At 52.4% G+C, this 25,902-nt stretch overlaps 1 long non-coding RNA gene across 3 annotated transcripts in view; it reads left to right on the forward strand.

Moving 5' to 3' along the window:
- The window catches only part of LINC02691 (long intergenic non-protein coding RNA 2691), a 64,486-nt gene that overhangs the window by 18,304 nt on the left and 20,280 nt on the right, over positions 1–25,902 (forward strand). Inside the window, exon 2 of one of the 3 annotated variants that reach the window (NR_146611.1) lies at positions 1,210–4,263. The exons of the other annotated variants lie outside the window; for them this stretch is intronic. This is a non-coding gene — a long non-coding RNA (long intergenic non-protein coding RNA 2691). Of the gene's footprint in view, positions 1–1,209; positions 4,264–25,902 lie in introns of those variants that run through there. 3 annotated transcript variants of the gene reach the window in all.

Genomic DNA, 25,902 nt, shown 5'->3' on the forward strand with positions numbered 1-25,902 from the left:
GCTGTATAAAATCTGCTGTTAAAACTTATGCATTGGCCGGGCATGGTGGCTCACACCTGTAATCCCAGCACTTTGGGAGGCTGAGGCGGGCGGATCATGAGGTCAGGAGATCAAGACCATCCTGGCCAACACGGTGAAACCCCGTCTCTACTAAAAAAAAAAAAAAAAAAAAAAAAAAAAAAAAATTAGCCGGGCGTGGTGGCGGGTGCCTGTAGTCCCAGCTACTCGGGAGGCTGAGGCAGGAGAATGGCGCGAACCCGGGAGGCGGAGCTTGCAGTGAGCTGAGATCGCGCCACTGCACTCCAGCTTGGGCGACAGAGCCAGACTCTGTCTCAAACAACAACAACAACAAAAAAAAAAACAACTTAGGCATTGAGTTCTAATTTTTGGTTAATTTTCAGTTTTAAATATTTTTATTTGGTTCTTTTCCAAATCTTCTCTGACATGTTTTATAGTTTTCAGTCTCCTGTGATATGTTTGAATTTTTGAATCTTTTAAACTTAGCAAGCATCGTTATTTGATGTGATCTGATCTTCTGCTTATAATTCCAAAACCTGAAGTCTTTGTGCATCTGTTTCTATTGTCTTTTGTTTTTGCTGGCTCTTGATTGTGAATTTAATTTCATTTTGTGTGTGGTTATCTTTGTGTGCTAGAGATTGTATTGAAAAATTGCTTGTAAGAATAATTTGAGCCTTAGGATGATAGTTCCTCTCCTTTCCTCTCCTCTCCTCTCCTCTCCTCTCCTGTCCCCTCCTCTCCTCTCCTCTCCTCTCCTCCCCTCTCCTCTTCTGTCCCCTCCCCTCCTCTCCTCTCCTCTCCCCTCCTCTCCTCTCCCCTCCCCTCCCCTCCCCTCTGCTCCCCTCCCCTCCCCTCCCCTCCCCTCTTCTTTTCTTTTCTTTTCTTGATGAGTTTCACTTTGTTGCCCAGGCTGGAGTGTAGTGGTGTGAGCTCAGCTAACTGTAACCTCCACCTCCCGGGTTCAAGCGATTCTCCTGCCTCAGCCTCCTGAGTAGCTGGGATTACAGGCATGTGCCACCATACCCGGCTAATTTTTGTATTTTTAGTAGAGGCAGAGTTTCACCATGTTGGCCAGGCTGGTCTCCAACTCCTGACCTCAAGTATACCAAAGTCCTGGGATTACAGGCATGAGCCACGGCACCTGGCCAATAGTACCTTTCTTTAAGGATGGTGTTGGTTTGCTTTTTGCAGGTGCCTAGTGGGGCACTACCTGTCTGGAAGTATTTTACACGAAGTTTAAGCCTTGAGATTTCCTGGAGCAGGACCTCTGAAGTCACCATCACAAATGGCAGGCCCACACAAGGACTGATTTACTTCTGACTCACCCATGGCCTTCAGGCTTAGAGTTGGGGCCTTGTCGGATTCCTCTCTCTTACCAACTCTGGGCTTTGACTCTGTTGTCCCTAATGCCATGCTGATAAATAATTAATAACTGGCTCTTCATAAAAAAAAACAGTTTTGATCTGTAGCACCTGCCAATTCCCATGGTGTAAACACTCCTGCCATGGCTGACTTCAAGTTACCAACACAACATCACTGAGTGTGGGATTGGAAAAAGATGCCCATGGCTGGCTCTTAAGAGTCCTCTGAGCCTTGCTGGTTCTCCCTCACCTGCCATTGAGGGGGCTGATGGGTGCAACAGTCATTCCTGAGGCTGCAAAGTTCTTTAAAGCAGAAGCAGCTGACTCTTGCTTATGTTTTGCAGTACTTGCTGGGCTCTCAACTCCTCCAAGGTTTTGGCCTGGTAGTGCATTCTTTGCTACCTGATTTGCTCTTTTCTGCTTTAAAGAAGATTGGAAAAAAATTTTTTTTTTGAGACAGGGTCTCACTCTGTCACCTAGGCTGATCGTGGCTCACTGCATCCTCCACCTCTCAGGCTCAAGGGATCCTCCTACCTCAGCCCCCCAAGTAGCTAAGACCACAGGTGTGCGCCACCACATTAGGCTAGGTTATTATTATTTTTTTTTTGTATTTTTGGTAGTAGAGACGGGGTTTCTCTATATTGTCCAGGCTGGTCCTGAGCTCCTGGCCACGAGTGAGCCACCCACCTTGACCTCCCAAAGTGCTGGGATTATAGGCATGGGCCACCATGCCTGGCCAATTGAAATATTTTAATCCAGCTTTTCTAGTTGTGTTCAGTGGAAGAGTTGGTCCTAGTCACTAATCTGCTACTTATGGACAGAGACATCTCCTATTTTCTGTTGTAAGGACAGGAAAAAGCAGAAAATATAGAAAAGGAAATAAAGAGCAACCATCTCTCAATAGTACTGCTGCCCAACAAGAACACTGCTGACATTTGGAAACTGTTTTCCAATTTGATTCTTATTGGAAAGCATAACAACCAGCCAGGGCCTGTGCTGCTGGAGCGGGCAGTTATGTGCAGGGAGACAGCTGGTTACGGCTGGCTCCTGGCCTCGACGGAGCTTCTCAGCCTCTTGGAGCCTCTGTCCCCTCAGCTGCTGAAGGAACACATCTCCTGCACTTCTCAAGTTGCTGCCGGTGCGAAGGTGACTCCAGATTCTGCAGTTTGGGCTCCGTAGCTGCTCAGCAAATGTCAGCAGGTCCAGAAGCAAGGCTCCTCAGCTGCAGAGTGAATGCAAATGTCCCCATTGTAAATGGCCGTGGGGCCCAGGGCTCTGCAACCTTGGATGCCCAGGATCAGACCAGCTGTCCGCCGCTTTGGAATCTGGGTTTATGGGGGACCCGGGCCTCATAAATGTCAAAGCGTGCATTCTCGGCAGTCCAGGAGTCGGAAAACGTGTCTCTGAGGGGAGCATTCCTTCCATGCACACAGCTGCCTGGCTCACGTTTTTATCCTCGAGCCATAATTAGTCCTTTCCCCTGACCCTGAATTCCTGCCCCGGCCAGAAGCATGCTGTGGCCCTGGGGCCCGCGGCTCCTGGTGGTCGGTGCCCCTTCTGCTCTCCTGCAGCTGCGGCAGGTGGAAGAGCTGTCGGGGGTGGGAAGGGGGCTTGGAGGGATAAGGATGGGCTGGGGAGGGCTCCCAAGGCAGTGGACACTGTGGGCTCTGGGGACTGCATGGCTGTGGAGGGGGCATGTGCTGTTGGGCTCCCAGCCTCTTGGGGTCCTCTCTGTGCCAAGATAGAGCCTGTTACCCTCCCTGAGCAGGTGTGAGCAGACACCTGTCCCCTGCCCTGCATGGGAAGTGAACGATCCACTAAGTGGGGAGGTCAGGGTCAGATCCCCGGCCTTCCCATGCAGGATGACTGCTCAGGCCCAGGACAGTGGGTGGTCAACAGAAACCCCATCCCTGCCCATAGAGGGTGCTTCCCAGTTCACAGTGACACAGCCTGGCCTGCTCCTCTTCCAGCCACCCAAGGCAAGACACAGAGCAGGAGGCTGAGGCTGGTGTGAGGGAAAGGGGGATGCAGCAAGGGGATACCTCAACCTTGCCCGAGCTACAGACAGGTGAGGACTTCTCCCTCACCTGGTGTTTTCCACTGCATTCTGAAGAGCAGGTGACACCCACCCCAGGGTGGATCCAGGATGGATCTCTGGGTTTCCTGCCATCTACAATGACCCTCCTCATTTCCCCTGGCTAGCTGCCCCCTAGGATGGAGAATGCATCATGGTCACTGACACTTGGCGCCCTTTTCCAGCCTCAATGGCCTGGCAGAGCCAGTGGGGACACAGCAATAATGTGGGTGGCAGTAATAACAGCAGCTGAACCACCTGAGCACCATCCTGACGAGGCATAGCCTGAGCTCTGTGAACAGTGAAGTCCATCTGGTCTCTCAGTGGCCTGAGAGTGACTCTAACTATTATCCTCATTCTCTGAAGGAGGAAAACAAGGCAAGGGGATTTAAATAATTTTTAAAGGTCAGATACCTTCACAAAGGCTGAAGTGGGAGTCAGATGATAGTGTCTGGGTGGAGACCCCATACTCTTACCCTCAACTCTGAGCCATCTGCTATACAACATCTATTTGCTGAGTGGAAGGTGTGTAGCCTGAACCATGCTCACTTCTGGTCCAGAGCTCTTTCCTCAGGGCCCTGGGACATTCACGTTTAGTGTACAGTGGTATATGTATGCTGAATTCCTACATTAGGCCAGCCACATAGTCAGCACTGATTGCTAAAAGAATAACTGAATAAGGATAAATGCTTGAGGGGATGGATACCCCATTCTCCATGATGCGATTATTTCACATTCCCTGCTTGTATCAAAACATCTCATGTACCCCATAAATATATACACCTACTATGTACTCACAAAAATTAAAAATTAAAAAAGATACAAGTTAAACATCTGGCCAGTTATAATGATATGAAAAGTAATAAGGACAAAATATAAATAAAAGATTATAAGCAACAATAGCAAAAAGCATAATTGGATAAAAGGAAAAAAAAATCCCATTCCATGATGAAGAAACTAAGGTTCTAGGGAGCCAGGAAGTGGGGTCCGGGCTCCTGGCTGAGCTCTTAACCCAGAGCCCTAGCAGTTACATTTTCCACAGAAGGACAGAATGAGCACATGGGAGAGGCTTACTTGAAGTCCCCTTGCCATCAAGGGGCAAGGGTGGCACCTACCTCTCTTTGGGCAGGGCCCTGATCCTGCTGGATGGGGGCTGCCAGGGCTGCTGCTGAGCAGACTCCTAGGCTGATTCCTGGACCTGATTTTCATTGACGCTGCAAAGACCTCAGCAGAGCGCCTTTGCGCCCTGATGAGATTGACACACAGCTCAAACACACTGCATCCTTGTGGGGGTGGAGGAGATGCACAGACCCTGGCAGAATGCAAGAGAAGCCTGTTTAATGTGTCGACAGGAAGTATCAACCTGCAGCAGAATTGCAATGCAGTCTGTCCTGGGAGGCCAGGGGCTGGGCAGGCGGGGCAGGCGTTTGCCTTGCCTCGTGGGCCACTCCCAGGATGACTCCTAGCCTGGCCAGGATGAAGGCTTTGGCCAGCGTTGACGCTGTTTCCCAATGCAGAGATCACTCTGACACAGGCCAGCATTGCCTCGGAGGTGGCCCAGAGCTGGGCGGGAGGGAGACAGGCAGATAGCAGGGAAGAATGAGCCATCTCTGTCCCCTCAGCTGGGGTGCCCAGATTCAGAGGTCTCATGGTGATGGCTGCCTTCCTGGACCTACTCCTGGTTGGGCTCAGAGACTGGTCCAGGGAAGGGCCTACACAGCACTCTACAGTGCAAGAGATGCCGTCTTGGCCCTGGGGCCTTTGAGAGTCCGCCCCTCCAGAGGAGCTGGGGCCACAGGGTGCCCTGGCCGGGGAGTCAGGAGGCCTGCAGTGCCAGGGCCCTCTTGCTGGCCGTGGGGTGTGTGCCACTGTGAGCGAGCGGAAGTGTGTGCATGTGTGAGTGGGTGAGAGTGTGTGTGTTGTGCATTGATGTGAGTGTGAGAGTGTGTGTGTCCCCGAGGAGGGGACAGATGTCTATGGGAGGGCTCCGCTCTGGACTGAGAGCACAAGTCTGTGAGTCAGGACCTCCCGGAGCCGTGGTCCGGGGCTGTGTGCTTGGGGTGGTGAGAGGCCCCTGGCACCTCCAGCGGCTCCCAGTCCTGTGTGGGTCCTGCAGCCTGTGGTGCACAGGGCAGTGGGGAATGGTCCTGGGGGCCACACGAAGCCTTGGGGAAGTGCTGCATTTCCAGGCTGCAGAGGGCTTTGGGGTGCCGACTGCTGAACGAGGGGCTCCCTGCACTGCGGTCACCCTGTGGCAGTGTCGGGATGGGAGGACAGGGCCTTTGGGGGCTGCTGGGCCCTGCTCACCCTCCCTGGGCAGCCTGAGCCGGGAGGTCAGGTTGGGGGTGCTGGGCTCCCAGATTCAGCCCCAGGAGGCGTCCGGGCTGCCATGCTCACCCCGGCCCCGCCCGGAACAAGGGCTCAGAGGGAGAATGAACGGCAGCCGCCTGGTTTGCACATAATTTGTTCTGGGGCAGAGTTGCGGCTGTTAAAAGCCTCGGTGAAAAAGCCTCTGGGAATGTGACAGCCTGAGACAGGGAAAATCAGCCCAGGGTCCCTCCTCGGGTTCACACTGCTGGAACCTCTGCAACCTGCCTGGCAATTTGGATGTCACCAAAATCTGCCCTGCGGTTGGACGCTGGTGGCTGAGGGTGAGTCCACCGGGCCTGCTGAGGAGGAGAGCGGAGCAGGGCATCATGGGCAGGGGGGTGCTGGAGAGGGCTGGGGGGCATGTGGGGAGCAGCTGGCCCCTCTGGTGGCCCAGGGCACCTCTGGAGAGGGAGAGGCCTGAATGGGGGCTCCTGTCTCCACCCAAGGCTGTGGGGAGACCAGGACTCCCCACCAGTGAGGAGGGGCCATTTTTGGAGCTGCCTGCTCTGCCGAGTGAGCTTGTGGCAGGCACAAAGTGGACAAACAGACAAGCATCTGAGTGGTGGCTGCCCAGGCCTCCAGGCCCTGGGGGACAGCAGCTCCTCGCTCAGGAGGAAATGCTGTCCCCTCTGGGCAGGGGTGTCTGTATCTAAAGGAGTTGGGACACCTGGGCTCTGCCGGGGCTGGTGGCTGGGCTGGTCCGTGCCCCTCTTGGGGGTCAGACAGTGGCAGGGCCTGCAGAGCCTGGGTGTCCTTGTGGTGCTGGCAGGTTGCAGAGGGTGGTGCATGAGTTTGCGGGAGGACCACAGCCGGCGCCCACACGGCAGACGTGGGTTCTCTCATGTCATGGCTTGAAGACGGCTCAAGGCGTGGGCAGGGCTGCTTTCTCCTGAGGCCTCTCTCCTTGGCCTACGGATGGCCACCTTCCCTCTGTGTGCGTCCCAGTCTCCTCTTCTTACAAGGACCCCAGTCAGACTGTATCAGACCCCACCCCAGTGACCTCATTCCACCTTAATAACCTCGATAAAGACCCAATCTCTAAAGGCAGTCGCACCCCGAGGGCCGCCTTCAGCATAGGAAGTTGGGAAAACGTAATTCAGCCCAGGAGAGGTGGGAAGTGGGCCAGGCACTCAGGGGCGGGGATATCCAGGAGGCCTGGCTTGACCTGGCCTTGCCGCAGGCATCGCTGGTGGGCCCTCCTCAACCTCTGCCTGCAGGCTCAGGAAGTTTGTTGTGAAGCAAACAATCCCTGCGCTCCGAAGGCGCTTCTTCAGGCCGAGATCCAAAAATCTGACCCCCAGAACCTCCAATGACCAACTCTTTTTCCTCATGATGCCACCACCGTCCTCACCATTATTGTCATCGGCGTCATTGTCACCTCCATTGATTGAGCCCCTACCAGCTGCCAGGGCTGGGCAGGTTCCTTCTCACAGGTGGCCTCATACAATGCGCCAGCAGCCCTGGAGGTGGGGCAGCTGTGCCACTGCCCCATGAGAGAACAATCTGTCATGAGTGGGTTCTGCCCATGAGGACCCAGCCAAAGGGAGGTGGCCAGGATCAGGCAGGGCCAGCACCAGAGCCTCAGGCTTGGGCCTAAGCCTACCACGGGGACCCAGGCCGCCCTCTCCACAGCTCAGGGTGAGGCTGGATCTTCCTCGCTGGTGGGCACGCACGCAGGCGGGCAGGCTGAGAGGTGGGTGCTGGCCTGGTCTGCCAGGAAGGGTGGCCTCAGCTGCCCGCCCCAACCCTCACCAGTGGAAGAGAGGAACGAGGAGAGGTCATGAATGACTGGAACTGCCCTCCCGTGACCTGCCAGATGACCATCCAGGTTAAATTGAGATCTGAGTTTCATAAAAGCAAATTAAATAGACATACATGTATATTTTGATAATTAAAAGTTTTGAACCAGCCATTCACTCAAGGGTAGTTCTGGGGAATTTGTGCCCATGAGACCCTCCCCCTGGTGGGACAGAAGGAGCTAGGAGTGGGAGGCCAGGGGAGGCCTGTCTCCCTCATCCCCCATGTCCAGGGAAAGCTGTGTGGGCCTGGGCCAGCTCTCTGGCCCCATGGGCACTCTGTGCCTGGTGACAGCAGAGGTCCTGCTCTTGGGAGGCTCTGACCCCCCACAGCGGGGCTGCTCTGGGGGAGTGCTGGGGAGCTGCGGTGTCCGGGGAGGGAGCTGGGACCTGCTCCCTTGTGCTGGTGGTGTACCTGCCTGGCACCTCCCTGGCACCAAGCGTCTCATAGGACCCTGCAACAGTCCCGGCTGGGGATGCTGCCTGCAGGTTTCAATGGGGAAACTGAGGCTCAGAGGTGGGATGGGACCTGCCACCCTGTGTGACTGGCAGGACAGAGATGGGGCTGGATTGGGCCCCAGCATGGCTGGCCCTAAAGTCCCCTGCTTTCATGCTCTGACCATAAGGCTTTCCTCGTGGAGGTTGCTGGGGAGATGAGTGGGGTTGTTGCACAGGCCTCCCGGGTTTAGGCCGCACCTGGGCAGGGACCTCCCAGCAGAGATGGTCCCCCCATTTGGTGTGGAGGGACCACATGAGCAAGGCAGAGTAGGAGGTGCATTGGGGATCTCGCGGTGTAGGGGGTGGGGCCTGCAGGGGGCGGCTGGGATGGGGAATGGGGCCGAGGCCGGGGGGTGATGGTGAGGGTGGGAGTGTGAAATGGCAGTGCCCCCACCTGGGCAGCTGGAGTGCATGGCCCTGAGCATTGGGTCCTGCATGGTCCTGCGGTGGCCTGGTGGGCCCAGGAGACCAGAAGGCCTGGGCTGATCCCTGAGGGTCTGTCTGGTGGGGGTGGCCAAGGGCACTCAGGGTCATGGTGCTGCAGAGGGGGTGTCAGAGGGCAGTGTTGGCAGGAGTTCTGAGTGAGGAGGTGAGAATGCCTGGTAAAGGTGGAGGGGGAGGGAGGGGAGGGAGAAAGAGGGGGTGAAAAGGGGGAAGGAGGGAGGGAGGAGGGAGAGGGGAGGCCCAGTAGACATCCTCACCCGGGGGGCAGTGAGGGTTAGGGACCCTGCCCTGCGTGAGTGATTGGGCAGGGGATCCTGAGGGCGCTTCCAGCCCCTGCATGGTCAGGAGGTCACACGCCCACTCACCCGCTCATTCATTCATTGCGTGGTCGGGAGCTCACACGCCCACTCACCCGCTCATTCATTCATTGCGTGGTCAGGAGGTCACACGCCCACTCACCCGCTCATTCATTCATTGCGAGGTCGGGAGCTCACACGCCCACTCACCCGCTCATTCATTCATTGCGTGGTCGGGAGCTCACGCGCCCACTCACCCGCTCATTCATTCATTGCGTGGTCGGGAGCTCACGCGCCCACTCACCCGCTCATTCATTCATTGCGAGGTCGGGAGCTCACGCGCCCACTCACCCGCTCATTCATTCATTGCGTGGTCGGGAGGTCACGCGCCCACTCACCCGCTCATTCATTCATTGCGTGGTCGGGAGCTCACGCGCCCACTCACCCGCTCATTCATTCATTGCGTGGTCGGGAGCTCACGCGCCCACTCACCCCCTCATTCATTCATTGCGTGGTCGGGAGCTCACGCGCCCACTCACCCGCTCATTCATTCATTGCGAGGTCGGGAGCTCACGCGCCCACTCACCCGCTCATTCATTCATTGCGTGGTCGGGAGCTCACGCGCCCACTCACCCGCTCATTCATTCATTGCGTGGTCGGGAGCTCACGCGCCCACTCACCCGCTCATTCATTCATTGCGAGGTCGGGAGCTCACGCGCCCACTCACCCGCTCATTCATTCATTGCGTGGTCGGGAGCTCACGCGCCCACTCACCCGCTCATTCATTCATTGCGAGGTCGGGAGCTCACGCGCCCACTCACCCGCTCATTCATTCATTGCGTGGTCGGGAGCTCACGCGCCCACTCACCCGCTCATTCATTCATTGCGTGGTCGGGAGCTCACGCGCCCACTCACCCGCTCATTCATTCATTGCGTGGTCGGGAGGTCACGCGCCCACTCACCCGCTCATTCATTCATTGCGAGGTCGGGAGCTCACGCGCCCACTCACCCGCTCATTCATTCATTGCGAGGTCGGGAGCTCACGCGCCCACTCACCCGCTCATTCATTCATTGCGAGGTCGGGAGCTCACGCGCCCACTCACCCGCTCATTCATTCATTGCGTGGTCGGGAGCTCACGCGCCCACTCACCCGCTCATTCATTCATTGCGAGGTCGGGAGCTCACGCGCCCACTCACCCGCTCATTCATTCATTGCGTGGTCGGGAGGTCACGCGCCCACTCACCCGCTCATTCATTCATTGCGTGGTCGGGAGCTCACAGGCCCACTCACCTGCTCATTCATTCATTGCGAGGTCGGGAGCTCACACGCCCACTCACCCGCTCATTCATTCATTCCTCCGCGCATCATCCATTCATCCACAGTGCTCACTGTGGCCTCTGGGAGGATGCTCCCACTCTGTTGGGGGGGCCTGTGGCTGAGGAGCCCCCTCCTCAGACTTCGTCTTGCTTCCCCCAAACAGCTGCCCTGGGGCCTGCTGGGCTGGAGCCTGCAGATGGGTGTGTGGGGAGGGTGCGGGTGGGCGGGATCTCTCACGCCTATTGAGGCCCCCATGCAGGGGGTGCCGACTCCCGCCTGCCACCCACCCTTTGTCCACGGCGTTCCTGGCTGCTTTGGCTCCCTCAGCCTCCAGTCCTTTCTTCTCTTTTCACCTCCTTTTCCAATTAAGAGCCCACCCTGCCTGCCCCACAGACACCGTCAAGCCTGGCCCCATTATCCAGTCCCCTGGCGGGTGGTCTCTGCACCGTGCTGCCCTCCATACGCAGCAGCCTCTGTCTCAGGGGTCTCACTGCCCCATTGGGTGCTGCATCCTGGGGAGCGAGAGGGGCTGGTGTGACTGTGCCTGGGCCCCACACCTGGGCTCCAGCAACCCTCGCAACACCTATCCTGGCTCTGTTTGGCAACCTAAGGGTGGTGGGCCACGAGCGTCCCAGGACCTCAGAATTCCAGCTCTTGGAAAAGTGCCCAGGGCATGAAATTCCCTTTAGAACACACCCTGGGCCCACTGTCCCTCTTGGGCACTCTCAGCCCTCAAGGCTGGTGGCACTCACTCCCTGCCCTCACAAAGGCTGCTGCTCCCACCTCCTGGCCATGCCTGGGGCCAGCAGCAAGTACATTGTGGCCACAGAGCCGGGCAGTCAGGAGAGGCCAGAGTGCGGTAGCACCTGTCCCACCCGCTATTCCACAGTAGGGGACAAACGGAGCTTGGAGGGGTTCAGACGGTGTCTTGAAGGATAGAGCAGGTTCCTATCTTTGAGGACTCCTCCTCCTGCTTCCTGACTTCTGGGTGGACCTGACCATCTCCTCGTGTTGCAGAAAAGGGCTCTAAAGCCCAGTTGTACCACCTACCAGCCAGGGAACCTGGTGAAATAGACACTGTACAATGTCTTCCAGCCTTGTGCTTCTATTCTACAGACGGGCACCATTACATCACTAGGAGGAGTGAACCTGCCTCTGGCAAACAGGTCCGGCCTGCAGCACCCACGGCGGGTGGTTTCCTTTCCTACCCCACAGCCTCCCCTGGGGCCACTGTGTGCCCTGTAACCCCCTCCTTCCAGCGGCCCCACAGCTCCAGCTGTCTGGGCAGGCTCTCCTCTGACTCAGGTCGAGAGCTGCAGCCAGGCCAGGCCCTCTGCTGTGGGCACACCCGCTGGCATCACCCCTCTCACTGGGCCCAGCCACCCCTAGGCCTGGTGCCTCCTTGGACAGTGGGCATGGCTGCCCCTGGCTGCAGCTGGTGTCCTGGGGCTGGCATCCCAAAGCTCCCGCGTTCTCCAGCACCGGTGGAGAGAAAGCCCCGCTGTCCAGCCGAGTTCTGATGGAGATGGTGCCAGGCGGCTTGTGCCCTCCTCCGCCCTGGTCCTGGGGTCTCGTGGTGAAGTCAGCTGCTTTAGAAATCAGGCGGGAGCTGAGGGAGTGGAGGGCTGGGGGCCACGCCCTGAGCTTCCCTGGGTACCCCCTGACGGCTGCTCTTTAGGAGCCAGGCTGGGACTTCCAATATACCACGAGAAGCCAGCAACCTGGGCTTCGATCTGAGATCTGTTTAGAAATGTTGGCAATGAATTCAATATTTTAAAAACCAAGATGTAGTGAGGGAGGCTATGGAAAGGCTACCAGCAGGGGTTAACTGGCTGCCTGGCGTGAGATGGGGTCCAGGTGGAGGGGGTGAGAAGGGAGGGGAGCAGGGGCAGGATGGAAAGGACTGCGGTGAGGCACGCGGGTCCATCTGTGCAGAGCTGCTCGTGGAGGGGTGTGGAAGCCCACCCCATCCACCGCCCCACTGGGCCTGCGCAGTCAGGCGGTCCCCGGGAGCTGAGTAAGGGGGCTCTGAGGAGAGGGTCCTCATGACGGTTGGGGTCACCAAGCCCAGAGGAGGCTTCCAGGCAGCCAATTTCAGACTTAATTCAGGCAGCCCTCTGGGGCTGACCGAGTGCCCTTCTCGCCCGCGTTGGCGAGCAAGAGGCAGGCCCTGGTGTGCTGGTGCATCTCCTGGCGGGCTTATGAGGGGCTGGAGCCCTGGGGGACTCTGGAGCAGCCCCTCCAAAGGATGCCATGGGCACAGATGCTGTGTCTGGCTACAAGAGGCACTTGGATCCCCAGGTTTGCTGCTGTGTGTGCGTGCATGCAGATGTGTGCATATGTGTGTATCTTTGTGTGCGTGTTTCTGTATCTCTGTGTGGGTATGTGTGCGTCTATGTATATCTCTGTGTATGCCTGCATGTGTGTCTACGTGTGTGTGTGTATCTTTGTAACTGTGTGTGGGCACACAGACATATGAACGTGTGTATCCGTGTCTGTGTATCTGCCCACATGTGTCTGTATGTGCGTGGGTGAGTGTGTGTCTGTATCTGTGCATGTGTGAGTGTGTGTCTGTATCTGTGCATGTGTGAGTGTGTGTCTGTATCTGTGTGTGTGTGTGTGTGTCTGTGTTGGTTCCTTCAGCAGGGATGTCAGCTGTGGCCAGGGGGCCCGCAAGCCAGCCCTAAATTTGGGCAAATTTGGCCTGACCTAGGGAAGAAGGAAGCTGTGTTCACTGCCGCTGAGGGTGGGTGGGAGAAGGGCTGAGAGGGTGAGAACTGAGGGGCCCCAGGGGGCAACAGTTACCCTCAGTGGTGCAGGTGGGGAACTGAGGCAGAGCCAGAGGCTGGGAGACAGGAAGAGGTGGGAAGTGACCGGAGTGAGGCTGAGCAGAGGGAGCGTCTTCGTTTCATAAAAAGCCATAAATCCAGCCGAAGCTAACTGTGGAGGAAAGGGTACTGGGCCCCTCCTGTCTTCCCCGACCCCGTACACTGACCCGAGGCTGGACGAACCCTCAGTTCCTGCCCACCGAGAGCACGCATCTGTTCATGCCCCTAAAATATGGGTGCTCAGGACACTATCAGCCTTGGACAGCTGCTGTTTCCACTTGATCTGTGAAATTTATGCCGTTGGGAAGACAAATGTTCTTAGCCAGGGCTGAGGGAAGGTATGAGCAGCCCCCCTTCCCTCCTGTCCAATTTTGGAGGCTGGGAATATTGGCTTCACTCTGACAGCTCCCTGACTGGGTGGCCCAGAAACGACATATGGCTGGAGAATTCCCAGCCTGTAGGCTGAACACCTCCAGCCTTTTTTTCCTATTGTATTAAAATATACATAATCTTTATCGCTGTAAACATTTGTAAGTCTGTAATTCAGTGGCCCTGAATACACTCTCAGTGTTGTGCAACCATCACCTCTATCTATACCCAAAGCTTCTCATCTTCCCCCAACAACTCTGTCCCCATTAAATAATAACCCTCTCCCCCAACACCTCTACCCCCATTAAATAACAACCCCCTCCCCCAACACCTCTGCCCCCATTAAATAACAACCCCCTCCCCCAACACCTCTGCCCCCATTAAATAACAACCCCCTCCCCCAACAACTCTATCCCCATTAAGTAACAATCCCCTCACCCAACAATTCTGTCCCCATTAAATAACAACCCTCTTCCCCAACAACTCTATCCCCATTAAATAACAACCCCCTCCCCCAACACCTCTACCCCCATTAAATAACAACCCCCTTCCCCAACAACTCTATCCTCATTAAATAACAACCCTCTCCCTCAACAACTCTATCCTCATTAAATAACAACCCTCTCCCCCAACAACTCTATTCCCATTAAATAACAACTCTCCCCCCAGTGACTCTCTCCCCATTAAATAACAACTCTCCCCTCTCAAGACAATTCTGTCCCCATCTAATAACAACTCTCTCCCCTGACAACTCTATCCTCATTAAATAACAACTCTGTCTTCTTTCTTCCCTCAGCCCCTGATCACCTTTATTGTACTTTCTGTCTTTATGACTTTGCCTACTCTAGACACCTCACATGAGTGGAATCATGCAGTATTTGTCCTTTTATATCTGACTTATTTAACTCAGCATAATGTCTTCAAGGCTCAGCTCTGTCTCAGCACATGTCAGAATTTCCTTCCTTTTCGGGGCTGAATAGTATTCCACAGTATGAGTGGACCACACTGTGTTTGTCCTTCATCTGTTGATGAACACTTGGGTTGCTTCTACTTTCTGGCTGTTGTGACGAATGCTGCTACATGCATGGGTGTATAAATATCTCTCCAAGACCCTGCTTTCTTGTCTTTTGGGTGTATGACTAGGAGTAGAATTGCTGGGTCATGTGGCATATTCAACCTTTTGAAGAACTGCCAAACTGTTTTCCACGGTGACCACGCCACTTTATATCCCTACCAGCAATGCGCAAGAGTTGCAATTTCTCCACATCCTCATCCCCAGTTCTTTTCTTTTCTTTATAGCTGTAGCCATCCTAGTGGGTATGAAGTGTTTTGGTTTGCATTTCCCTAATGACCAGTGCTGTTGAGCATCTTTTCATGTGCTTATTGGCCATTTGTATATCTTCTTTGGAGAAATGTCCATTCAAGTTCTTTTTTCATTTTTAAATTGGGACCTCTAGCCTTATTGAGGTCTTTCTTCCTAGATCATAAAGGGTAGGAACACTGCTAGGCTGGGTCACACTGGTATGGGTTTAAAATGCAGGGGTCCTGGATCCAAGCATGGTGAGGGATTCTGGAGTCTGGGCTCTGGGAGGCTGGGGAGCATTAGGACATGAGAGATCTCTTGGGAGGGGCAGTGATGGGAGGTGGGGGTGCCAAGGGGTGGCAGAGCCTCCCTGGCTGCAAGGGACCATGGGCAGCCCCAGGTTTTGGAGAACTCCCCTAATAGGAGGGAGCATGGCATCAAGGACCCTGGCTGTAATGCTTGGAAGGGGAGGACTTTGGGGACAACTTTTCTGGAGCTCTCTTATCCTCCCCCAGGCCCAGGGCTTATGCTCACTACACTTTTCCTGTGCACATTCACTAAACAAACATTCTTGAGCACCCAGGCTGTGCCGGTGGCTGGGGCACCTGGAGGGAACCAGGCCAACATGGCTCCTGTCCCCACAGAACCCACAGTCTTGAGCTGTGCTGCTCAGTTTGGCAGCACTAGCCACTTAGTTACTGAAATTAAAGTTAAATACAGTTAAATAAAGTTGAGGCTTCTGCTACCAGCCAAGATGGAGTAATGTGAATTGGATTTATCCTTCCACCTGCAATAAGCAAGAAATGGACAAAAATACATGAAAAATCAGTTCTCAAGGCACTGTAGACAATGGAGTAGAGTAAGAGGCTAGAAACAAATCAGATGAACTCCACAGCTGTCATATCTTACTGCTGGAGAGAATGTCCATGCCGTGAAGCAGGAAGCAGGAATCCAGGCAGAGCCAGGTGGACTCCCTGAGTTAAGGAGGAGACCAAGGTGGTGAGAATTGGCAGGACAGAGGTGCTGCAGAGGGGAGAGCAGAACACAGAGAGAACTCTGAGATCCATAGAGGGCCCCTTTCAGGATTCAGTTGAGGACTGAGCATCCTCTGAGTATGAGGAAACTACCTGAGTTGGGAAAGGCTCAGAACTAAGGCCTGGTGTTCACACAGGGCCAGGAATAGTGCCTGTTCCTAACAGTGGGGCTGGAAAACCTCATAATTTCTGGGGCATTGGTAGAATGCCTTGCTTCAGTCGTGGGATATAATTTGCCCTAGGCTGAGCACTGCTCCAATTCTTCCTAAACTATCTTAAAAGCAAGACCCTGAAGAATCAAACTGTTTCCAAATGACTTAACTGAATCTCAGGAAAAGCTCAAGAATCCAACACCTAACAATATAAAATTCACAATGTCTGGAGTCCAGTAAAAATTAACAAGTATGCAAAGAAGCAAGAAAATGCAACCCCTAATAAGGAGATAAATCAGCAAAGACAGCCCAAGACTGACACAGATGTTAGAATGAGCAGGCAAGAGCATGAAAATAGTTATGATGACTGTGTTCCATATGATGAAAAAGTTAAGTAGAGACATGGAAGATATAACAAAGACCCACATCATATTTCTAGAGATAAAAACTGCAATGTGTAAGATAAAAAATACACTGGACGGATGGAATTATTGTCAGATTAGATGTTGAAGAAGAAAAGATGATCACACTTGAAGACATAGCAATAGAAATAATCCAAAATGAAACACAGAAAGACAATATTATTTTAAAAGTTAACAGAATATCATTGAACTTTGGGAAAATGTCAAGTGGTCTAATCTGTTTAATTGAATTATGTGAAAGAGAAGAGAGAGATGGGAACAGAAAAAAAAATACTTGAAATAATGGCCAAATATTTTCCACATATGAAAACTATAAACCCATAGATTCGAGAAGCTCAAAAAAGGCAAAGTACAAGAAACATAGAAAAAACTACACCAAGGAGCATTATAAGCAAATTGCTCAAAAGTAGTGATAAAATTTCTTGCTTGCAGCCAGAAAATAAAAGGCAAGATTTGTATAGTGCAACAAAAGTGAGAATAACAGCAGATTTCTTGTGGGACACAACGTAAGCCAGAAGAAGGTGGATGAACATCTTTAAAGTTCTGAAGGAAAAAATATCTTTCAACCTAGAATTCTGTGACCATTAGAAATATCTTTCAAAAGCAAAGGCACAATAATGACTTTTACAAGTATACAAAAGCTGAAAGAATGTCTCAACAGAGGACCTGCATTGCAAGAAATTTTAAAGAAATTCCTTCAGGTGGAAGGAAAATGATACTAGTTGGAATTATGGCTCTACAGAAAGGAATGAAAAGTCCTGGGACTGACACTTTATAGGTAAATATATAAGATTTATTTTTATTATTTAAATTTATTTAAATGATAATTAATTGTTTAAACAAGAACAATAATGTAGTATGAGGTTTATGGCATATATAAAGTTAAAATGCATGACAACAATAGCACAAAGTTTTGAAAGGGAGGAATGAAAATATGCTATTAAAATGTTCTTATCTTGCATGTGAAGTAGTATAATAGCACCTGAAGGCAGCCTACGATAAGTTAAAAATATATGCTATGAGCCATAAAGCAACCAATAAATTACAAAACAAAGGGAAATAGCTAATAAAACAACAAAACACATAAAATGGAATTGTAAGAAATATTTCATTAATCCTAAAGAAGGCAGAAAAAGATGAAAAAGGGAAAAACAAGTGGGACAAATAGAAAATAAAGAGCAAAATAATAGACTTAAGCCTACCAATAATACATTAAATGTAAACAGTCCAAATATTCCAATTAAGAGACAGAGTGACTAACAGAATTAAAAAGCAAGACCCAACTATATGCTGCCTATAAGAAACACACATTAAATATGAAGATACAGAACTCTTGGTTTCTGGCCTGGCATGTGGCATGTAAACAGCTTGGAAGTCATCACTCCATTCTCATTACAAGTATAAAGCTGAACAAACCACAAAAGCAACTCTTCTTAGATCCTTAAGAGAAGCGAGGTCACAGGGCAAACTGCTGTCCCTCAAATTGGATGGACAGACAGACAAATACAGAGAATTACAACTTACTGGAGCAGAAACCTCTGCAGGAACCAGTGCTGGAACAAGAAAACCTAAAGTGTAATCAACAAATTGCCAGAGGCTCAGTGTGGATAAGCCTGGGAGTTAAAAACTCCAGAGAGACCCAGTCACAGTCCCCCTTCCCCCAGCTTTTGTGAATTTTTCCTCCTCGGTCTTTCCTCCAGGTTCACACAGTGAATACCAAAGGAAAATCCCTTTGTTCTTTCCAGCAGGGAGAAGGGGAAAAAGAGCCATTTTGAGATATACCAGACTATCTGTTCTTAATAATGGTCTACCTTCCAGAGAAACTAACCAGATCCTAGCCTTCTGGAGTTTTATCCATGCTTAATTGACCTGACAGAAAGGAAACACCCACCTCCAGCCCCCTCCAGCCATCCTGTCCCACCTAAGGAGGGGGATCTGAGATGCACTGGTGAGTTTCACAGTCCAGAGGCACAGGCTCACTAAAGGTAAAGATACAAATAAGCTGCAAGAAAGGGAATGGGAAAAGATATACCACACTAACATTAATTAAAAGAACTCTGGAGAGGCTGTATTAACATCAACAAAGTAGATGTACAGAATATTACCAGAAATAAATAAAATCACTTTGTAATGATACAGAAATCAATTCATCAGAATGTAACAATTCCAAAGATGTATGCACCTAATGACAGAGCTTCAAAATAAATGAAACAAACACTAATAGAACTACAAGGAGAATTAGGCACATACAATTACAGCCAGAAATTTTAATACCCCTTTTTCAATAACTGTTAGGACAAATTGACAGAAAATCAATAAGGGCGTATAAGACTTGAAGAGCAGATTCAACTGACATTTATAAAATACTCCACTCAACAACAGAATACCCATTCTTTTCAAGTGCACATGGAACACATTTACTAAGATAGACAATATTCTGGGCCATAAAACAAGTCCAAAAAATATAAAGGGATCCAAGTCATAAAAAGTTTTATCTGATCACAATGGGATTAGATTAGAATTGAAAAATGGAAATATTTCTGGAAAATTCCCCCAAATTTGGAAATGAAGTAACATATTTCTTGGTAACTTATGGGTCAAAGGAGGAATTAAAAGGGAAATTAGAAAGTATTTTGAACTAAATAAAAAGGAAAACACAGCCTATAAAATGTGTGGGATTTAGTTAAATCCCACTATTTAGGGGGAAATTTGTAGCATTAAATGCCTATGTTAGAAAAGAAGAAATATCTTAAATCAATGACCTTAAGAAACTAGAAAAGAGCAAATGAAACCCAAAGTAAGAAAAAAGGAAGTAGTGAAGATCAGAGTGAAAAATCAATGAAATCATAAACAGAAAGACAGTAGAGAAAATCAATGAAACCAAAAGCTGGTTCTTCGAGATGATTGAAAAGATGAACAAACCTTTAGGTAGGCTGGTCAGTAAAAAGAGAGAGAAGACACAAATGACCAGTATCGGGAATGAAGGAGGTTACATAAGAACTGATTCTACTGATATTAAGGGATGATAAGGGGATATTATCAACAACTCTATGTCAATAAATTCAACTACTCAAAATGGACAAATTCCCTGAAAGACACAAATTACCAAGGATGTGCAGGATGAAGTGGATAACCACACAGCCCTGTAACTATTAAAGAAACTGGGTTTGTAGTTAAAAACCTTTCTACAAAGAAAACTCCACGGTCAGGTGGCTTTACTGATGAATTCTACCAAATGCAAGGAAGAAAATACCACTTAACCAATAATAATATGCGGAGTGCAAATAAGCATGTGAAACTGCTCAATATAGTTAGTCAATCAAGTGGAAACTAACCCATAGTGTGAGAACACCACACACCTAGTAGAATGGCTAGCATTAAAAAGACTGACATACCAAGTATTGGAGATGATACGGAGGAACTGGAACTCTTCTGTGCTGCTGGGGGAGGCAGGGTATGTAAAATGGTACAACTGCTTTATAAAGCAATTTGTCAGTCTCTTAAATCATTAAACATATACCTACCATATAATCCAGTCATCCCACTTCAAGAGAAATGAAAACAGTCCATACAGAGTTGTATGTGAATATTCACAGCAGCTTTATTTGTAACACCCCAAAACTAGGCAGAACCCAAACGTCCATCAACAGTTGAGTGGATAAATAAAAGGTGGTGTGTCCGCACAATGGCTGCTACTTGGCGATAGAAAGTGATGAATTATTGATGTGCACGATGACGTGGATAAATGGCAGGTAATATACTGAGTAAGGGGGACAGATAAAAAGGAAATGTAATTCACGATTTTATAAAGAATATGTATGTAATTCTTGAAAATGCAAACTAATCTATAATGACAGAAAATAGATCAATGGTTGCTTGGGGCCTGGAGAAGCGGGCAGGGAAGATGGAGGGCAGGATCTCCAAGGGGCACGAAGAAGGTTTTTGGTGTGATGGGAATGTTCTTTACTTTTGTGATGGTTTTGCTGGTGTATACATGTGTTAAAACCTATCCAATTGTATACTTTAATTATGTGTAGCTTATTCTATGTTAGTTATACTTCAGTAAAGCTACAGAGTACAATTTTTAAAACCCAGGTCTGTGGTTACAATAACATTTCGAGTGCTCAGTAACCACAGTAGCTAGTGGCTGCCACACTGGACAGTGCAGATACAGAACGTTTTTATTACTGTGGACAGTGCTGGTCTCGAGGGAAAGACACACATGACCTGGACCATGGCGTGGGCTTTGTCTTTGCAATGGGAGGAAAACATCAGCGGAGTAACAAGAAGGAAGGGACTCGAGGGCCTTGGCAGATGTTGGTTGGGCTGACCAGGTCTGCACCCAGGCCCTGGGGGACCTGGTGGGGAAAAGGTCCTTCCTCCCCAGTGGGGTGAGGGGAGAGGTGTTGGCCCCAAGCAGGATGGTGGCGATGCCAGGTGGCTATGGTGGTGAGCGGCCCACACTGCTGTGGACCAAAGCCAGAGGGGAGGGTGTGAGGCTTGAGGTGGGGAGCTCAGATGCTGCTGAAAGAAGGCAGGCTCAGGGCAGCCCAGGCAAGAGGGGTTGAGCCAGTGATGCTCTCTGCCCTGCTGGGATGCTCTCCCCGTCCCCTGCTGCTCTGCCTTGGGGAGCAGAGAGAGGAGGCAGAAAGGGGTCTCTGGGGAAGGTGCGCCCACCCCAGCCAGTGTACTTTGGAAGGGAAGTGGCATCCCGGGTGTCAGGGCCCCCCACCCTGGGGCAGAGGAGGAGCTGACCTGGGGAGCAAGCAGATGAGAGCCCAGGGCTCACTAAGGCTTTGGGGAGCCCCTGGTTCTGAGCCCTGCCTTCCCCCTCCCTCTGCCCTGGGCTGGGACTCTGAGCTCCTGCTTCCTGCACCCCCATCACTGTCTCCTTTGGGGACAGGGACCAGCTCTGGGGGTCAAGTGCTAGGGTGAGGTTGACAGAGGTCCCGCTTAGCTGCACGGCCCCCACATGTAGACAGTGAGGGGGAGTATTAACTGGCAGGGGAGGCACACCCCAGCCCCCTGGGGAGGGGGCCAGCTGCATGCCGGGGACAGGCTGCAGCTGGGGTGACGGGGCTGGGCTCATTCCGGTTGGGGACAACATGGCTCAGATGGGTCCCACCTGCAGGCAAGCCTGTCCTGAGGGCCTTGGTTCCAGTGCAGGGGTGGCAGAGCCTCCTGCTGCACCAGACAGGGCTGGGGCAGGCGGGGTGGCTGGGCGGGGCTGGGGCAGGCGGGGCTGGCCATGTCCACTGCAGGGCCTGGAGGACGGGTCTTGGCTCGTTCCCCACCTGAAGGACAGGGTGGGGGGGGGGGACTCTCTCCTTTCGTTGTCCCATCTGTCCCTTGGGCAAAATTGAACAAACCCATAAAAGCCAAATAACTCTCATTGTAGAGGACGGTCCACCGCCCAGGTCTGCACAGTGGCTCCTGAGGCCGAGTTGATCAAAATGTAATCAGTTCTAACGCAAGACCTATTTGATGACAGGTATGGTGTGGCCGTGTGTAACTATCCTTACAATTAATTAACTTTTCATGTCGTTCATTAAGCTCCATAACTTATGAGGCCGGGCACTGTACAGTTGGAAGTCACAGAAGGGAAGACTGGAGTTAAACCGTGCTAGGGTGTCCCTGGCATGAGGGGCACCCTGCGTGGCAGCTCCCAGAGCTGGTGTCTGTGCACAAGCATGGTGGGGCTTACCCGACCCCTGCCCCTGGCTCAGCTGGGGACTCATGGTGGAGCAGCTGCAGTCGCTGTAGGATCATTCCCTTTGTGACTGGAAATAATTGTATTTGTGATTTGCACAATGCTGCAACATATTGATTTTTCAATTACGCCGGGAAGAAATCGAGAATGAGATGGAAGGGAGTGGCGGCTCCTCGAGGGGCTCTGAGTTGGGGTCTGCAGCATTGCAGCGGGTGACCCTCAGCAGGGGGCCTTGGGCCAGCGACCCCCAGGGTCTTAGAGCTACAAGTGACCTCAGACATACGTTCTTTGTCCAGCTGGGGAAACTGAGGCCCAGGGTGGGGACAGGCCTCGCCCGAGGGCTGGCAGTGAGGGTGGCACCAGAGCTTGGTCCCTGCCCCTGACTTTAGTATGTGAGGCCCTCACCTTGCCCTGGCATGAATAAATGAAGTTGGGACTAGCAGGAACCTTCTGAGAGGGTCCACTGGGCCTGAGCCGTCAGGGAAATGCGAAGTTGGCATACAAACTTGGCAAATCTGTTCCTCATGCCAACACTCCCCCTGGGGCTTGCCTTCGGGCCTTGCCTCTCTATCTCCGTTTTAAAATGTTAGTCTTGGTTGAAGCGTCCCTTCCTCTGGATCTTCTCAGGGCCTCTCTGTCCTGGCTGCCCCCGCCCCAGTATTGGCATCTTGTGGGTCTGGCCGGCCTGGGCTGCTGGGAGGACGGGTGAGCCCCCGAGGCAGAGCCTACTGTCTGCCTTCTCCGCCCCCAAGGGCAAGGACCGGGTAAGGCGTGGGAGCTGCAGAGCAGGAAGTGGCTAGAGCTTGCTCACAGGCAGTGCTGGGTGCCGGGCTTGGGGATGAGCTCCGGACAGGGGGCTTTTGGAGCGCTGGCCCAGGCAGTGGTGCTGACGCAGGGGTCTGGTATCCCAGGCAAGAAGGGTGGCTGGAGGTGTCTGTGGGTCACCCCCTTTCTGCCCTTCCCTGTCATCTGCTCCTATCCCTGGGATGGGGTTCTGGGCCTCCCCAGCCTTGGGTAAGGACGCTGGTGTTGGCATGAGCCGAACTGGTACTTGGGAGAAAGGGCTCCAGAGCCCCCAGCTTGGGGGAGGCTGGGCAAGCCAGGGCAACAAGCCCAGGGAACTGAGCCCACCAGGGCAGTGCAGCCCCGGGGTGGGGGTGCTTCCTGGAGGGAGGCTCCCAGCGAGGCCTGGGGTTGGGCCAGCCCTCCCAGCTGCCTGTGGCCTCTGTGGCACATGCCCAAAGACATAATTCTGCAGCACCTCTATGGGCGGCAGCTGGGGATGATGGTGCCACCGAGCCCGTGACAAAGCCAATGTCTTTTTGAGGGTCAGGCGCAGTCCATACCAGGCTTTAATTTAAAAATCAAATTCAGCCAGGCGTGGTGGCGCAGGCCTGTAATCCCAGCGCTTTGGGAGGCTGAGGCAGGCGGATCACAAGGTTTGGAGTTCAAGACCAGCCTGACCAACATGGTGAAACCCCATCTCAACTAAAAATACAAAAATTAGCCGGGTGTGGTGGCAGGCGCCTGTAGTCCCAGCTACTCAGGAGGCTGAGACAGGAGAATCGTTTGAACCCGGGAGGCGGAGGTTGCAGCGAGCTGAGATCACGCCACTGCACTCCAGCCTGGGTGACAGAGCAAGACTCCGTCTAAAAAAATAAAAAATAAAAATATTAAAAAAATAAAAATCAAATTCAGCCTGGCATGGTGGGTCAAGCCTGTAATCCCAGTACTCTGGGAGGCTGAGGTGGGTGGATCACTGGAAGCCAGGAGTTCAAGACCATCCTGGCCAACATGGTGAAACCCCGTCTCTACTAAAAATACAAAAATTAGTCGGGCGTGGTGGCGGGCGCCTGTAGTCCCAATCACTCGGGAGGCTGAGGCAGGAAAATTGCTTGAAGGTGGGAGGTGGAGCTTGCAGTGAGCCGAGAGCGCGCCACTGCACTCCAGCCTGGTGAAAGAGCGAGACTCCGTCTCAAAAAAAAAAAAAATCAATTTTTTTTTTCTCAGAACCTGCCCTGCTCATTTATAAGCTCATAGAAAGCTCTATAGGCAATTGCATTTCCTGGTGCGTGTGTGTGTGTTTTAAAGAAGTGGAAACCACATGGGAGGGAACACACGGGCTGCCGCCTGCTGGCTTCTGTTCCAAGGAAGCTCCTGGTTTCTCCTAAGATGAAGGAGCCACTTTCCTGGGCTCAGGCCCTCTGGGATCTGACGGCCAAATTTGGGCCTACAGAGTAGGGAGTGCGGGTGAGGGCAGGGACCAGGAGGCAGAGGCAGTGCTTCTGGGGTCTGGGGCGCTCACTCGGGTACAGGACATCTGGCTTCTGGGTGTGGCTGGGGAGGTGGGAAGTGAGGGCACTTGCAGGGCCTGTTCTGGGAGACCTGCCCCCTCTCCCACCCTGAGGTCCGTAGACTCTGCACTCCTCCTGCCTTCCCTCCCACCCTAGGGTCCAGAGCCTCTCCACTCCACTCCTCCCGCCTTCCCTTCCACCCTAGGGGAGCACGAGACAGAACTTAACACGCACCTCAGGCCAACACCTACCGTCATGGCCCTGCGAGGGAGCCGAGTTCGTAAATGACCGCACAGGTGAAGGATTTAATTTTCTCTCATTTGTCCCCGTATTCCGGCTGTCTCATAAATCACAGCTGTTTATGACTCTCTTCGGCACTTTTGTGATGGCTGATAATGGCTGAGTAAGTGGCAGAGAGGATGAATTCTGCAGCGGATTTTAAACAAACGTGCACATTGGAGCCACAGATAATGTGAAGCATCGCAGCAGTGGGGGGCACCTCGCAGGTCACCCCCAGAGCGCAGCCCTGGCCTGCTGGGAAGGGCCTGCTCTCTGGGGGCCTGGCCTCCCTCCCAGAGGTGGGCAGGGGCCAGGGGCAGCTTCTTCCCAGGGATATTTTAGTCACAAGGAGCAAGCCCCACCAAGGCTAGTGGGCACCTGTGTGTTTGAGAGTGTGTGCAAATATGTGCCTGAGTGTGTGCGTGTGGGTATGACTATGTGTGCACGTGTGTGTGCGCACGTGTGTGTGTGTGTGCACGTGTGTGTGCGCATGTGCACGCAGTCAGAGTGCGCAGGCTCCTCACCTGTCCAGGGCGCACGGCCCAGAAAGACCACTGCTTCTTAGGTCATAGTGCACCTATCTGGAGGATGGGGCGGTACCAGAGCCCCAGGTCAGAGTTCTCAGCAGCTGCAGGGCCTTGTTCAATGGCTGAGGGTCAGGCTCTGGCCTGGAGCCGGCTCCCGGAGAAGTGCCACCCTCTGTCCCCTGCTGGGGGCTGGTGGCTGCTCTCCCTTTCCAAGGGTCCCTCCCAAACTCACCTTCCCTCACCCCAGACCTCCTCTGTGAGGAACTGATAAAGCCATAGTGGAGGTGCACACACACTTCACACGTGCACACACACGCACATGCCCACACACGCCCACACATGCACACACCCCCCACACGCATACACATGCACAAACACGCCCACACACACGTGCACTCACACACACACGCATGCACACACATGCCCATGCCCACACACACGTGCACACACACTCCCACGCCCACACATGCCCACATGCCCACAAGCCCACTTCCCCGAGACGGTAGCCATGGGTTCATCTGGAGCCCATTCCTCAATCACCATCCGGTCTCACAGCCCCCGGGCACTGGGGGTGGTGCCCACCACTGTTTATTTTCTGCTAAGATGCACTTTGCCATCCTAGGGGTTGCAGCATCTCCTCGTAAAGCCATAAATGTAATTGATATTCTCAGCATTTCGAGAAAAAATACGAGTATTAAAGATATACAGTACACCTCATAAAATTCTCTCATATTTCTTCTTTATGGTGGGTTCTAAAATTGGCAAAATAAATTCCCTAAAACCCATTATGCTCAACGTACAGTGTGTTT

Source organism: Homo sapiens, chromosome 14 (assembly GCF_000001405.40).
Source record: "Homo sapiens chromosome 14, GRCh38.p14 Primary Assembly".
Taxonomy (NCBI): domain Eukaryota; kingdom Metazoa; phylum Chordata; class Mammalia; order Primates; family Hominidae; genus Homo; species Homo sapiens.